This window comes from Homo sapiens, chromosome 20 (assembly GCF_000001405.40).
Source record: "Homo sapiens chromosome 20, GRCh38.p14 Primary Assembly".
NCBI lineage: Eukaryota > Metazoa > Chordata > Mammalia > Primates > Hominidae > Homo > Homo sapiens.
Genome location: NC_000020.11, coordinates 44,295,783 through 44,311,508, shown reverse-complemented (window position 1 = coordinate 44,311,508; position 15,726 = coordinate 44,295,783). Strand labels below are relative to the sequence as shown.

At 49.8% G+C, this 15,726-nt stretch overlaps 1 protein-coding gene across 1 annotated transcript, besides 5 other annotated features; it reads left to right on the top strand.

Moving 5' to 3' along the window:
* Positions 1–730: an enhancer, noted in NCBI's record as "H3K27ac-H3K4me1 hESC enhancer chr20:42939419-42940148 (GRCh37/hg19 assembly coordinates)". NCBI's record gives its function as "activates a minimal SCP1, AML or CMV promoter by ChIP-STARR-seq in naive and primed H9 embryonic stem cells {active_cell/tissue: H9 hESC(naive and primed)}" and the evidence as "EXISTENCE:reporter gene assay evidence [ECO:0000049][PMID:30033119]".
* Positions 255–404: an enhancer, noted in NCBI's record as "active region_17922". NCBI's record gives its function as "activates an Ori minimal core promoter by ATAC-STARR-seq in GM12878 lymphoblastoid cells {active_cell/tissue: GM12878}" and the evidence as "EXISTENCE:reporter gene assay evidence [ECO:0000049][PMID:35858748]".
* Positions 307–8,669, top strand: FITM2 (fat storage inducing transmembrane protein 2). The gene is made up of 2 exons (NM_001080472.4): positions 307–533; positions 4,269–8,669. Exons 1-2 carry the CDS (start codon positions 361–363, stop codon positions 4,882–4,884), a joined length of 789 nt encoding a protein of 262 aa, NP_001073941.1. The 5' UTR covers positions 307–360; the 3' UTR covers positions 4,885–8,669.
* Positions 695–784: an enhancer, noted in NCBI's record as "active region_17921". NCBI's record gives its function as "activates an Ori minimal core promoter by ATAC-STARR-seq in GM12878 lymphoblastoid cells {active_cell/tissue: GM12878}" and the evidence as "EXISTENCE:reporter gene assay evidence [ECO:0000049][PMID:35858748]".
* Positions 695–1,460: a biological region, named in NCBI's record as "H3K27ac-H3K4me1 hESC enhancer GRCh37_chr20:42938689-42939418".
* Positions 731–1,460: an enhancer, noted in NCBI's record as "H3K27ac-H3K4me1 hESC enhancer chr20:42938689-42939418 (GRCh37/hg19 assembly coordinates)". NCBI's record gives its function as "activates a minimal SCP1, AML or CMV promoter by ChIP-STARR-seq in naive H9 embryonic stem cells {active_cell/tissue: H9 hESC(naive)}" and the evidence as "EXISTENCE:reporter gene assay evidence [ECO:0000049][PMID:30033119]".
* Positions 8,670–15,726: the final 7,057 nt, after the last annotated feature.

Genomic DNA, 15,726 nt, shown 5'->3' with positions numbered 1-15,726 from the left:
CAAATGATGCTGTGACTACTGCTCCAATTCTCCAGGGCTACATTTATCCTCTTCCAGCCTCCAGCAAATACTTTCACAAGCGCTTTTTCCCAGACCAGAGCAAGACGCGGAGGCTCGGGGAGAGGAGGCGGCCAGGAGAGCGCAGAGGAGACGAGCGAGTTCGGGGACCGTCACGCGCCAGAGGCAGCAGCGGCCACGAGGGGGAGCGCGCGGGCTCCGGAGCCCAAGCACGCCTCAAGCTGTGGGACTCGCGGGCAGTGCGCATGCGCTCGAAGGGAGGTGGAGGCGCAGGTCCGGGCGAAGGGCGATACGGTGGCCGAGAGGGCACGGAGAGGAGGACGGTGGCTGACGAGATCCGGCATGGAGCATCTGGAGCGCTGCGAGTGGTTGTTGCGGGGGACGCTGGTGCGGGCGGCCGTGCGGCGCTACCTGCCCTGGGCCCTGGTGGCCTCCATGCTGGCGGGCTCCCTCCTCAAGGAGTTGTCCCCGTTGCCCGAGAGCTACCTCAGCAACAAGCGCAACGTCCTCAACGTGTGAGTGCACCCCGGTCCTCCGCTGTCCCCGCCCGAGCCGGCCCGCTGTCGCCTCGCCCAGAGAAGCCGGTGCTAGCTGCCGTGGTGGACGAGTCATTGGAGGGGAGGTCCTCCTCCTAGCCGTGACAGCAGCATCTGCACGCGTGTCACGCCTGGGAGGCCCCGGGGTAGCTGGTGTCACTAGCAGTTAGTGTTTGCAGACCCACTTTGGGCAGCATGAGCTTGACTGGGCAGGTGGTGACAAGCGGGGTCGTGTGTGTCTCTGTATATGTAGGGGTGTGGAATGGGGTGGGGATGAACCAGCCCCTGTCACCACTCCCCCGCCTCCCCTTGGAGTTAGGAGCTGACCCCTGCCCTGTTTGGGAGATGCCATCTCACCTCTGTCCTGCCTGCCTGTGGCAGACCCCGCGCAGACCCCACCCTGCGTCAGATCAGATCCCTCCAGCGCGTGACAGAATCCCTTTACGACCTGTGGAAGAGCCTCGCCCCAGCCTGTGACAGGCAGAGCCCCCGCCTGTGAGATACTCACAGAGGGCTGGAACCCCCTAGTCTGTGCCCTTTCCCCTGGATCTCCTTGGATCATCTCAGCCACTCAGAATGCATGGCAGTGGCCCAGAAAAGCAATCCCAGCTGGGCGCTTTGAGACATCTCCTTAACTCCACCCATCCACTCCTTTGCTTGCTTACTTGCTTTTTTCAAAACTCCCGGTTAGTAAGTTTATTGCACAAAAACTCTGTTGCGGTCATAAAGGGAAACTCTGAAAGATAAAACTGCTCCCTTGATGTGAGCCTAAGTGTTTTCCAGAATAAGTGTCTCTGGCGTGTCCTGAAAGTCAGCCCAACTTTGGTTATCTGCTTAAAACCCTGGTTCCTTTCACAGGCAGCTTCCTCAAATGCCTGACGGGTCTTGGCTCTGGCAAGATCTTCCTTATCAGTCCCAGTGAAGATTTTAGTGACAGGCCTGGGGGTGGTGCCTGAGAATCCATTGGAACCTAGAAAAAAGTCCTTCTGTCCTTGGTCCACCTTCCTTCCTCACCCACCCTGAGAGGCTGGGCTAAGAATAGATCATGAGAGTGGTAGTGGCCCCAAGTCTCTGTCCTGGGTTTAGGTCAGCCACCTTTCGTGAACGCTGGGGAGGCGGACAAGGCAGCTGCTGCTTCCTCTGGCCTAGGTGAGCTGGGAGCCAAGTGGCCTGGCTGACAACACACCCCTGTTGTTTGAAGGTAGTCATGGATCCTGGAGTTTTGTTCCAAGCCTCTGTGCTGATTAATGAGAGGGAACTAGTGAATCCTGGGATATAGAAGGGACCTTAAAAATCATTTGGTCCTCTCAGCTCTGTTTGATAGCTGAAGAAACTGAGGCCTGGAAAGGTAGGAGGTATAGTAAGTTAAGTAAGAGTGAAGATTTGAACCCGTAAGAGTGAAGATTTGAACCCCGGTCTTTTGGCTTAAAGTAAGACCTTGTTGCAAGACTGTTTCTGCCGTTAGGAAAGAACCAGGCTGGGCGCAGTGGCTCACACCTGTAATCCAGGCACTTTGGGAGGCCAAGGCAGGTGGATCACTTGAGGTCAGGAGTTCAAGACCAGCCTGGCCAACGTGGTGAAACCCCATCTCTACTAAAAATACAAAAATTAGCCTGGCGTGGTGGTGCGTGCCTGTAATTCCAACTACTGAGGAGGCTGAGGCAAGAGAATCACTTGAACCTGGGAGGCGGAGGTTGCAGTGAGCTGAGATCATGCCACTGCATTCCAGCCTGGATGGCAGAGTGAGACTTTGTCTCAAAATAAATAAATAAATAAAAATAAAAATACAAAAATTAGCCGAGTGTGGTGGTAGGTGCCTGTAATCCCAGCTACTCCGGAGGCTGAGGCAGGAGAATTGCTTGAACCCGGGAGGCGGAGGTTGCAGTGAGCCGAGATCGTGCCACTGCACTCCTGGGTAATAAGAGTGAAAACTCTGTCTCAAAAAAAAAAAAATCATTTGGTCCCCCCAGCTCTGTTTAATAGCTGAAGAAACTGAGGGCTGGAGAGGTAGGAGGTATAATAAGTTAAGTCAGAGTCAAGAGTTGAACCCGTGTCTTTGGCTTAAAGTAAAGCTCATTGTTGTAAGACTGTTTCTGCCATTAGGAAAGAACCAGGCCAGGTGCATGGCTCATATCTATAATCCCAGCACTTTGGGAGGCTGAGGCAGGATAATTGCTTGAGGCCTGGAGTTCAAGACCAGTGGGGGCAACATAGCAAGGCCCCATCTCCACAAAAATAATAATTAAAAAAAATTAGCCAGGCACATTGGTACACACCTGTAATCCCAGCTATTTGTGAGGCTGAGGCAGGAGGATTGCTTGAGCCCAGGAGTTTGAGGCTGCAGTGAGGTGTGATTGTGCCACTGCACGCAAGCCTGGGGGACAGAGTGAGATCCTGTCTCAGAAAAATAAAAATAAAAAATAAAAAACCACATATGGTATGGGAGAAACAGCATGAGTCTGGGGGCTATCCAAACCGTGGTTTAATCTGTTCATGCTGGTTGTGTGAGTGTGACCCTGGCAAGGTACTGAACTTTTCTGAGCCTTAGATTTCTTGTCTATAAAATGGAACAATGGCACCTTCCTCCCAGGGTAAATGTGAGTGCTCTATGGGAAAGTGAATGTGTGTGAAAGCTCCTGGCATTTGGTAAATGCTCAGTTATTATTATTTATTTATATTATTTTCCTAAGTAAATAACATAGTGCTTAAGACGACAGATCCTGGATTTGAATCCTGGCTCCTCCGCTTCTGGCCTCCACTTTTGGTGTGGCACTTCCCTCTGTCTCAGTTTTCTTCTCTGTTAAAGGCAGATATTAACAGTACTTAACTCATAGAGTTGTTTTTTTTCGTTTGTTTTGTTTTGTTTTTGAGATGGAGTCTCGCTCTATCGCCCAGGCTGGAGTGCAGTGGCACAATCTCGGCTCACTGCAAGCTCCGCCTCCCGGGTTCATGCCATTCTCCTGCCTCAGCCTCCCGAGTAGTTGGGACTACAGGCGCCCGCCACCACGCCTGGCTAATTTTTTGTATTTTTGGTAGAGACAGGGTTTCACCATGTTAGCCAGGATGGTCTCGATCTCCTGACCTCGTGATCTGCCCACCTCGGCCTCCCAAACTGCTGGGATTACAGGCGTGAGCCACCGCGCCCGGCCAACTCATAGAGTTGTTAATGGATTACCTGGTTAATACATTTAAAGTACTTACACAGGGGTGGGGTAGGGGAGGAGGGGAGGGCTGGGCACAGTGGCTCATGCCTGTAATCCCAGGACTTTGGGAGGCCAAGGTGGCCGGAGCATTTGAGGCCAGGAGTTCGAGACCAGCCTGGCCAACATGGTAAAACCCCCTCTCTACTAAAAATACAAAAATTAGCCAGGCGGGGTGATGCGCACCTGTAATCCCAGCTACTTGGGAGGCTGAGGCAGGAGGATTGCTTGAACCCGGGAGGCGGAGGTTGCAGTGAGCTGAGATTGCGCCACTGCACTCCAGCCCGAGTGACAGAGCGAGACTCTGTCTCAAAAATAAATAAATAAATAAATAAATAAAGTACTTAGTAAGTGAAGTATATGGTAAGTACCTAAAACATGATAGTTGCTATGAGCTGTAGCTTTGATCAGTTTTCTCATTTTCCCTCCCCTGACAGTGTAGAGACCTGAGTCCTGACATGGTGTCCTCTCCACCGTGTTCCCTCTCTTCACTTCCACTTTCCTCCTCTGTCAGGTATTTTGTCAAAGTGGCCTGGGCCTGGACGTTCTGTCTCCTTCTGCCTTTCATTGCCCTCACCAACTACCATCTGACCGGCAAGGCTGGCTTGGTCCTGCGGCGGCTGAGCACCCTGCTTGTGGGCACGGCCATCTGGTACATCTGCACCTCCATCTTCTCCAACATCGAACACTACACGGGCAGCTGCTACCAGTCCCCAGCCCTGGAGGGGGTCAGAAAGGAACACCAGAGCAAGCAGCAGTGCCACCAGGAAGGGGGCTTTTGGCATGGCTTTGACATCTCAGGTCACTCCTTCCTGCTGACCTTCTGCGCCCTCATGATTGTAGAAGAGATGTCTGTGCTGCATGAGGTGAAGACGGACCGAAGCCACTGCCTCCACACCGCCATCACCACCCTGGTTGTGGCCCTGGGCATTCTGACTTTCATCTGGGTGTTGATGTTTCTGTGCACAGCTGTTTATTTCCACAACTTGTCCCAGAAGGTGTTTGGCACCTTGTTTGGTTTGCTGAGCTGGTACGGGACATACGGGTTTTGGTATCCGAAAGCCTTTTCCCCAGGACTTCCTCCCCAGAGCTGTAGTTTGAATTTGAAGCAAGATAGTTACAAGAAATAAAAGAGTAACAGAGGGGGGACAGAAGGACAATGGCTAATCTATTTTTCAAATATATATTTTGCTTAGTTATTTGGCTAAATTATTGATCCTACTTCAGAGGGAAAGTGTACCAGGCAGTTTTGGTGGGTGGTGCTGAAGTCTGGGGAGTGAGTTTAGTCTTCAGACTATTCTTGGCGACATCACCAGTGTTGCAAGCACCACCATTCCCAGTTAGGCACTTTTTGTCCCTGGTAAGACTTGACCTTTATCTGGAACACTCCTTTTGTCCCTAGAGTGGGGACCTAAGGCTCAGCAAAAGGGCAGAATCAGGAAAGCCTTTATGGTGTGGCTAAAGGAGTGGCCAGAGCCTTGGGACTCCTTTGCTGCCTTCTCCCTGGTTCCAGTTGTCTTTAGATTTTCACGGCTCTTACTGCTGTTACTTAACAGTATTTTCCAGCCAGGCATGGTGGTTCACACCTCTAATCCCTGCACTTTGGGAGGCCGAGGCAGGCGGATCACCTGAGATTGGGAGTTCGAGACCAGCCTGTCCAACATGGCGAACCTCGTCTCTTCTAAAAATACAAAAATTAGCTGGGTGTGGTGGCACATGCCTGTAATCCCAGCTACTCAGGAGGCTGAGGCAGGAGAATTGCTTGGACCTAGGAGGTGGAGGTTGCAGTGAGCTGAGATCGCACCACTGCACTCCAGCCTGGGTGACAGAGCAGACTCCACCTCAAAAAAGAAAAAACAAAACAAAACAGTATTTCCCACTGGTCAGTTTTGCATAGGCATCTATTTCAGGCAGGGTTTTTTTCTTTTTTTTGAGATGGAGTTTTGCTCTTGTTGCCCAGGCTGGGGTGCAATGGCCCGATCTCGGCTCACCGCAACCTCCACCTCCCAGGTTCAAGCGATTCTCCTGCCTCAGCCTCCCGAGTAGCTGGGATTACAGGCATGCGTCACCACACCAGGCTAATTTTGTATTTTTAGTAGAGATGGGGTTTCTCCATGTTGGTCAGGCTGGTCTCAAACTCCTGACCGCAGGTGATCCACCTGCCTCGGCCTCCCAAAGTGCTGGGATTACAGGCATGAGCCACCGCGCCCGGCTCAGGCAGGGTTCTTTATAAAAACAGCCTGATGCCTGAAGGACACTCTCTGGTTGTAATATTTGTTTCATCCATGAAGTGTTTAAATATTGCAACTGACTTGCGATTAGCCACCAAAACAGGCCCTTTTAGATGCAGTGCCTCTCCGACCAAGTATTGGATGATTCATACGTAATGGACTATGATCATTTTCTGTCCATGTTTTCTATTACTATATGCTGGTTTTTTTGGAGCAATAAGATTACTTTTTTTCTGTTCTATTTTGAGCGAATCCTTTACAGTTTTTGATAAGAACTGTGACATTTGTTCTTTGTTGATAAAACTCCTGAAAATAACTCACAAGGCCAGTGCTGCACTCTGGCACATGTAGGTTGTTTTGAGGGTTTGTTGGTTGGTTGGTTGGCTGGTTGATTGGTTGGTTGGTTTAGAACACTAATGTACTTGTTATGAACCAAACTCTGGTCTTACAGTCTTAAATTCCACCTCATGGGGCTGTTTTCTCTGTTAGCAATGAAACCTGGGCCAGGTGTAGTGGCTCACACCTATAATCCTGGCACTTTGGGAGGCTGAGGTGGGAGGATTACTGGATCCCAGGAGTTTGAGACCAGCCTGGGCAACATAGTGAGACCCTGGTTTCTATAAATAAATAAGATAATCAAACCAGAAAGCAGGCATTTTAGTAACAGCCTGTTGAATTTTAAGGTGAATCAAGGTAATTTTGCAGAATGCGTTCTTGCACCGAAATGTCCCTGACCACATATCAGTGGTATAGACTGAACAGTGTGCTTCAGGGTCATGTGCTGAGTGCACTGATCACTCTGCTGTGGCCCAGGGCATCTGTACCTGTTGGACAAGATTATGATAATTCAGAAGTGAAGTAAAATGCCTCCCTCTGATGGCAAAAAGCCAACCTGTTTGCAAAATCACCCTTATTGAAGGGTGGCATGGCTGTGGTCCCTCCCTCCTGTTACTTGCATCACCAACCAAACTAAACCAAACCATACCTGGGCCTGTTCAGCTGGACTTGAAATCAGTTTCCTTTTTCTCTCCCCTTTGCAGCACTTTTCAGTTTCCAGCTTTGTCATTCTGTGGCCTTTGCTGTGACAATGCTGGGAAGGGTTAGAAATCCTGTCACCTCCATCCACAAAGGCACAGTTCCACGCCCTGTGATAAGATATCCCCTCTTCTCTCCCAGACTGTCTCCTTAAGCCTTTCAAACTGAGCCCCTTGCTGTTGGGGTAATCACCCTTAAGGCCGCCTTGATGCCCCTCTCTCCAATCAAGTCCAATAGTAGCATTAACTGAGAAGCACTACACCTGACTGGCTTCACTGAAGCTTAAGTGGTTGAGGATGAATCTTCGGTGTAAAATCTTTTACTATAAGGATATATTTTAAATATTTCATATCCCATCAAGTTGGAGGTTAATTTTATCCATCACAATGAGTCATGATTTGTTGCACCCAAAAGGAGCAGAAACACAGGTGATGAGATATGGGAGGTGGCACCATGGTGCTTTGGAGGCGTTGGTAAGATGTGACCCTCTGTTGCCTATGCCCATAAACCAGTGGTGGGAGTGGCCATGGAGTAGATGGCAGGGGCTTGTTGAAGGGATTGAAAGCTCTCCTAGGCTAGGCATGGTGGCTCACACCTGTAATCCTAGCACTTTGGGAGGCTGAGATGGGAGGATCACTTGAGGTTGGGCCAGCCTAGCCAACATGATAAAACCCCGTCTCGACTAAAAATACAAAAATTAGCCAGGTGTGGTGGTACACGCCTGTAATCCCAGCTACTCGGGAGGCTGGGGCAGGAGAATCGCTTGAACCCAGGAGGCAGAGGTTGCAGTGAGCTAGGATCACGCCACTGCACTCCAGCCTGAGCGACAGAGTGAGACTCTGTCTCAAAAAAAAAAAAGGCTCTCCAAAGTGTCATGTTCAGCACCAAAAGGGAATAGGCACAGGGTGACCCCAGAAGTTCATTTGTGACACTTAAATCTCCAGATATTTATCCCACGTGGGTCTGATGCGGGCTCAGCACTAAATTAACTGTATGTGGAAAGTGTCAATTGCAGAGCCTTCTGTATCGATGAGGCTTCCGCCACTTGTCCATGCTTAGCCCCCTTGCCTCTTCCTTGGGAGCATGCTTTCTATTCCTATGTGAAACAGCCTGACATAAGTGAAAGGATTTGGGCTCAAGCAAACATGAGATGTGGGTTCATATCTTGGCACCACTCCTGATAGCTGTGTGATCATGGCAAACCTCGTTTTCATCGTCTGTCAGGTGGAGATGAAGAGAAATGGTGCATGTAAAGTGCTCAGCATCTGTGCTTAGCAGGCCATAGTCTCCCTGCCTCCTTTTTCTTGAGTAAGCCTTTAGAACTTTCTGACTCCTCTAGAGAAGGCAGAGAAACGAATATATTTTGGGTGCCATTTGGAGTCTGGGTCTTTTGTTAAAATTGTCCTGTATTATGTTGAAAAGTGTCGGTTACCCCCAGGCTCTGGGGGCATCTGTGATCATAGAATACTGCCATGCTTATTTTGCCTTTCTATGTTGAGATTAATTCACTGACGCCTCATTTTCCACGTGCATCTGTCATAGTCTGGGTACCAGATTGTATTTAGAGAATGGCTCTTGCCACTGTTATGTACACACAGATCGTGTGTGTAAACAAGCAAATTAAAGTAAACTGAGATAATGAAATCCCATATTTCAGCATTTTGTGTGTTCTTTTCTAATACTCTTAAGGAAGCGCAGAGCCCAATAAACCTCAGCGCACTTCGTGAAAGTAGGTAATTCTTTCTCAATTTAACTTGTCATATACGGGTTATTTTATGGCTAGAGTTGCTCCTGTTTTTCCCCGTATGTCTTGTAATATAAATGCATGTTCAGACATGTATTTATTAGCTTGACTTACTCCTTCCCTGTGTGCCACCTTCATGTCTTACAGTCCTGAGGTCAGGATCAGCCAGACTTGGGAGCAGTTCTCTTGGTAAAAAGTGAAGTAGGCCTCACAGAAGCAACACTGAAGAGCACTTTCAAAGTTTACTCAGATGAGGTCACCTTTGCAAGTGCTTTGTAGTCCTGGAGGCCTGTACACATGTGAGAGCTTCTTGTGCCTTTTAGTGCCCACTCGTTTGTCAGCCTGACCTGCTTGGCACGTCCAGGAAGTGTCTGTTGAAAGCTCCGTGGCTCCAGGATCAGAATCCCCTCCTGTTGCAGAACTTCCCTGTTCAGATTCCTTTGGCAGCAACAAACCCTTCTTGGGCTCACACTGTGAGCTGGGAGCTGGGGTGGAATGATAAACTCCCCTCCGCGTGGAGATTGTGGTTCAAAGTCCATCCTTTTGTAGCTTAAGCTGTGTGCTGGTGTTGCAAAGATGAATTTGGTCCATCTCTGCCTTGGAAGAGTTTTCACTCTCATGGAGAAGAACCAATCCTGCCATAAAGGGTTCTGAGTGCTGGGGCAAGGTCAGGGCCAAGAACATAAAGCAGGGAACAACCAGAGGCCCTGGAGAGTCAGGGAATATTTTCAAAGAAGGCAGCAATTCTTTGGGTTTTGATGGATGAGGAGGAGTTCAAGCAGTTAGGCAGAGAAGGGAATCCAAGGCAGTGGGGACAGCACACACAAAGGCTCATAGATATGTTACCATGATTTTTATGCGGACATCCATTTTCAAGAAGCCTCACTTTCCTGTCATTTTTAAAAGCAACTGAGATTGGAAGGAAGTTAGCCTTAAAGGACTGTGAGTGGAGATCATAGATACTCCCTGCTGTAACATAAAGAGCACTCAGTGCTGTGGTTTGAATATATTTTCCAAAGTTCATGTCTTGGAAACTTAATCCCCAATGCAACAGCATTGAGGTGGGACCATTAAGAGGTAATCAGGTTATGAGGCCTCTGGCCTCATGAATGGGTTAATGCCAGTATTTGGGGAGTGGGTTTGTTACCATGAGAGGAGCATCTTTATAAAGGATGAGTTTGTCCCCTAGCCCCCAAAATCTTTGGCCCTTTTGCCTTCCACTATAGGATGATGTAGCAAGAAGGCCCTAGCCAGATGCCAGCCCTTTGATCTTGGACTTCCCAGCCTCTAGAACTGTAAGAAGTCACTGTTCTTTATAAGTTACCCAGTCTGTGGTCTTGTGTTATAGCAGCACAAAATGGACTAAGATGCTCAGCTGGAAGTTAGAGCACCTGGCTTTGAGGTGGGTTCTGCTGCTGGTTTTTCCACTCTTTTGTGTGACCTTGAACTAGTCACTCAACATCTCTGGGTTTCAATTTCCTCCTGTAATAAACGATGGGGTTGGACTGGATAATCTCACCAACTCTTTGAATCTTTTCTACTGTTTCTCTGTTCTGCTTGATGAAAAGTTCTTCCCAAGCTGACTATGGCTTTTATTTTTGGAAACAACATGAAAAGAAACTCCCACTCAGAGCTGTTGTGGCAGCTGGTTTCTTGGTGAATGATGGGGGAAGCAGACCTCTGGGTGGACTTTGTTGCAGCCCTGCCTCCTTTTTCTCTACATCAACACACAAATGTAGTTCAGGCCTGGTTGCGCATGTTCACATAGGTTTAATGGACATGGGGAGCTGGACCTAATTCCCAGAGGAATAAACTGCAGAGGTCTTATTTATTTGTAATATTTATTTATTTATTTGAGACATAGTCTTGTCTTACCCAAGCTAGAGTGCAGTTGCTAGTGTCGGGTCACTGCAACCTCCACCTTCTGGCTTCAAGCAGTGCTCATGCCTCAGCCTCCCACGTAGCTGGGATTACAGGCGTGCGCCACCATGCCTAGCTAATTTTTGTATTTTTAGTAGAGACGGGATTTCACCATGTTGGCCAGGCTGGTCTCGAACCCCTGACCTCAGGTGATCCACCCACCTTGGCCTCCCAAAGTGCTGGGATTACAGCAGTGCGCTACTGTGCCTGGCCAGCTCTTTTAAAAAGTCTCAAAAATAAAAACATTTTTGAGAGCTGTCAAGAAGGTAGGTTCTGTTAGGAGAAATCCTTTACAGTTTAAACACCTTTAGAAACTGTCCCAGAAACCTCGAATACAGTCTCTGGGGAGTTTTAAAGTTGAACACACACAGTACAGAAAACAGGGATTCTCATACCTTAGGAGAAGGGAGGTAAGCTGGTCGCACCTGTTTAGATAGCAACCTAGCGTGTCCGTAATTGGTGGGTTCTTGGTCTCACTGACTTAAAGAATGAAGCCGCGGACCCTCGCGGTGAGTGTTACAGCTCTTAAGGTGGTGCGTCTGGAGTTTGTTCCTTCTGATGTTCAGATATGTTCGGAGTTTCTTCCTTCTGGTGGGTTCGTGATGTCTCTGGCTCAGGAGTGAAGCTGCAGACCTTCGCGGTGACTGTTACAGCTCTTAAGGCGGCTTGTCTGGAGTTGTTCGTTCCTCCTGGTGGGCTTGTGGTCTCGCTGGCTTCAGGAGTGAAGCTGCAGACTTTCGGGGTGAGTGTTACAGCTCATAAAAGCAGTGTGGACCCAAAGAGTGAGTAGCAGCAAGATTTATTGCAGAGTGAAAGAACAAAGCTTCCGCAGTGTGGAAAGGGACCCAAGCGGGTTGCCACTGCTGGATCGGGCAGCCTGCTTTTATTCTCTTATCTGGCCCCACCCACATCCTGCTGATGGGTAGAGCCTAGTGGTCTGTTTTGACAGGACGCCGATTGGTGCGTTTACAATCCCTGAGCTAGACCCAAAGGTTCTCCACGTCCCCACCAGATTAGTTAGATACAGAGTATCAACACAAAGGTTCTCCAAGGCCCCACCAGAGTAGCTAGATACAGAGTGTCGATTGGTGCGTTCACAAACCCTGAGCTAGACACAGGGTGCTGATTGGTGTGTTTACACACCTTGAGCTAGATACAGAGTGCCGATTGGTGTATTTACAATCCCTGAGCTAGACATAAAGGTTCTCCACGTCCCCACCAGACTCAGGAGCCCAGGTGGCTTTACCCAGTGGATCCCGCACCGGGGCTGCAGGTGGAGCTGCCTGCCAGTCCCACGCCATGCGCCCGCACTCCTCAGCCCTTGGGTGGTCGATGGGACTGGGCGCCGTGGAGTAGGGGGCGGCGCTCATCGGGGAGGCTCGGGCCGCACAGGAGCCCATGGAGGAGGTGGGAGGCTCAGGCATGGCAGGGCTGCAGGTCCCGAGCCCTGCTCCGCGGGAAGGCAGCTAAGGCCCGGTGAGAAATCGAGCGCAGCGCCGGTGGGCTGGCACTGCTGGGGGACCCAGTACACCCTCCGCAGCCGCTGGCCTGGGTGCTAAGCCTCTTATTGCCCGGGTCCGGCAGGGCCGGCCGGCTGTTCCGAGTGCGGGGCCCGCCAAGCCCACGCCCTCCCGGAACTCCAGCTAGCCCGCAAGCGCCGCGCGCAGCCCAGGTTCCCGCTCGCTCCTCTCGGTCCACACCTCCCTGCAAGCTGAGGGAGCCGGCTCCCGCCTTAGCCAGCCCAGAAAGGGGCTCCCACAGTGCAGCGGTGGGCTGAAGGGCTCCTCAAGTGCCGCCAAAGTGGGAGCCCAGGCAGAGGAGGCGCCGAGAGCGAGCAAGGGCTGTGAGGACTGCCAGCACGCTGTCACCTCTCACTAGTAGTAGGCCAGGCGCGGTGGCTCATGCCTGTAATCCCAGCACTGTGGGAGGCCGAGGTGGGCAGATCACCTGAGATCAGGAGTTTGAGACCAGCCTGGCCAATATGGTGAAGCCCTGTCTCTACTAAAAATACAAAAATTAGCCGGGCGTGGTGCCGTGCGCCTGTAATCCCAACTACTTGGGAGGCTGAGGCAGGAGAATCACTTGAACCCAGGAGGCAGAGGTGGCAGTGAGCCGAGATCGTGCCGCTGCACTCCAGCCTGAGAAATAGAGTGAGACTCCCTCTCAAAAACAAAACGAAACAAAACAAAAAACACTTAAAATGTGTAGACCCAGTGATTTCAATCTAGGGATTTGGGCTTTAGAAATGCTTCAAGAAGTGAGCAAAGCTAAGGACGAAGGTTTCATTACAGCTGTCTGTAAGAGTGAAAGATTATCAAGAACCTAAATGCCCATCGGTTATAGCAACTCCATTTTAGTGATAAATGCAGTCACTGCAAAGAATAAGTGATCTCACCACCACAAAGAAGGCGAGGAGGAATAAAAAGAATAAGTGGTATATGTCTAGTGTAGAACCTGGAGGTAGAAAGCCACAGGCTCATGTTGGCTATAACTCACAGCCGTGTGTTCTTGACCAAGTCAATGTCTCTGAGCATCAGTTTCTGAAGCATGTGGTGGGGTTAATAGTGCCTCAACTTACTCAGCATTCACTGCCCCAACAGCTGAGGAGCACCAGGTATACCAGGCTCAGTACTAGGCACAGGGGATGCACCATTAACTCAGAGAGACACAGACCTGCCCTCAGCAGGTCTACAGTCTAGCTGGGCATAGACAGTGAAAGGAGAGTCCCCAAAGTGTGCTGAGGGTCAAAAGCAGGGTGTTTTCCGAATCTACCCTGACACTGTCACCAGCTCAGGCAGAGATGGTTTATATAAAGCATTTAGAAAAGCAAAGGAATGGAGAGATTATCATGGACTGCGTTAGTTTAAATCCTTACTCTGTCACACTCTGGCTGTTCCTTAACAAGTTCCTTGACCTCTCTGGGCCACAGTTTCCTCATCTGTAAAATGGGTATAAGAACTTACCTTAAAGGGTTGTGAGAACTAAATGAATTAACACTTGTACTCAGAACAGGAACTAGTGAGGCCGGGCATGGTGGCTCATGCCTGTAATCCCAGCACTTTTGGAGGCTGAGGTGGGCGGATCATTTGAGGTCAGGAGTTTGAGACCAGCCTGGCCAACATGGAGAAACCCCATTTTTACTAAAAATACAAAAAAAAAAAAAAAAAAAATAGCCGGGCGTGGTGGTGGGTGCCTTTAGTCCCAGCTACTCAGCAGGCTGAGGCAGGAGAATCACTTGAACCCAGGAGGCAGAGGTTACAGTGAGCCAAGATTACACCAGTGCACTCCAGCCTGGGCAACACGGTGAGACTCGGTCTCAAAAAATAAATAAATAAAATAAAATAAAAAGAACAGGAACTAGCACGTGGGAGGTACTATATAAATGTCTTTCAAGTGCACAGTAAATCTCTGATGTGCCAGCAGAACCATAACTTACTTTAAAATCAGGGGGAAAAAACCCATGCATGTGACTTTTAAATTTTTATTGACTCATGGGTAGTCAAAATATACCATCAGGGTAGGCTCAGTGGCTCATGCCTGTAATCCCAGCACTTTGGGAGGTCAAGGAGGGCGGATCGCTTGAGCTCAGGAGTTTGAGACCAACCTGGGCAACATGGCAAAACCCTGTCTCTACTAAAAATAAAAAAAAAAAATTAGCCGGACATGGTGGTATGCGCCTGTGGTCCCAGTTACTCGGGAGACTGCAGGGAGCCAAGACTGCACCATTGCACTCCAGCCTGGGTGACAGAGCGAGACCCTGTCTCAAAAAAAGAAAAAAGTGCAGTTAGTGAATGTGGAAGGCCGGGTCCCCGTGCTCCAGCCTCTGCAGTCTGGTTTCAGGGTTCACTAGGGGATGAGGGAGAATAAGAACTGTTTTTTAGGAGAGCTGTAAAAAGAAAGGGCACATTGTGTCTGTGGTGTCCTTTTGGCTAAGGTTAAGTAGGTCCCCATCTTATTTGAGGTGCTATCTGCCCAAAGGTGAGCTAAGGGCTGCCTGGCACTAGTTCCTGGGCTGCTTAGTTTTGGGGACCAGGCTGGGGGCCTTCTCACTGAGCCCTGCCACTTGCCATGTCTTCTCTGTCAGGGTGTGGCTGCCCAGGGCATGTGCATCTGGGGTGTGGGAGTGCCTAGGAGGTAGGTGGGTGGGAGCCTGGGAGCCACCTCTGGTTAGCCTGTTAATTTCTAAAGTTATTGGGGGTCGGGTGCAGTGGCTCACACCTGTAATCCCAGCATTTTGGGAGGTTGAGGTGGGCGGATCACTTGAGGGCAGGAGTTCAAGACCAGCCTGGCCAACATGGTGAAACCCCATCTCTACTAAAAATACAAAAATTAGCCAGGCACAGTGGTACCTGCCTGTAATCCCAGCTACTCAGGAGGCTGAGGCAGGAGAATCGCTTGAACCCGGGAGACAGAGGTTGCAGTGACCAGAGATGGCACCACTGCACTGTAGCCTGGGCTACAGAGTGAGACTCCATCTCAAAAAAAAAAAAGAAAAAGAAAAAGTTATTGGGGCCCTGCCCTAACAAGCTGCTGTAGTTAATTTTCCACCCTCCACTCCTCTCAGCCCTTCCTGCCTTCTGCCTGCATTTCCTGATCATGCTCCATCTGCCAGGCACACCCCCCGCCGTGCTGATGGGAGTGGTATGGGGTGAATGGATGGGGACATAAGTGGACTCTCTTCTGGAGTTATTAGAAGCACTCGACCTGGAGCCAAGCAGACCGCGTTCCAGATCTGCCAATCAGCTCCTCAGCTGTATGATCTTGGGCAAATCACTTCGTTTTTCTGAGCTGGTTACTCAACTACGAAGTGAGGATAATACTTTCTGCCACACTAGTCTTTAATTGTCTTTTTTATTTTATTTATTTATTTTTTTGAGACGGAGTTTTGCTCTTGTTGCCCAGGCTAGAGTGCAACGGCGCGATCTTGGCTCACCACAACCTCTGCCTCCTGGGTTCAAGCAGTTCTCCTGCCTCAGCCTCCTGAGTAGCTGGGATTATAGGCATGCACCACTACGCCCGAGTAATTTTGTATTTTTAGTACA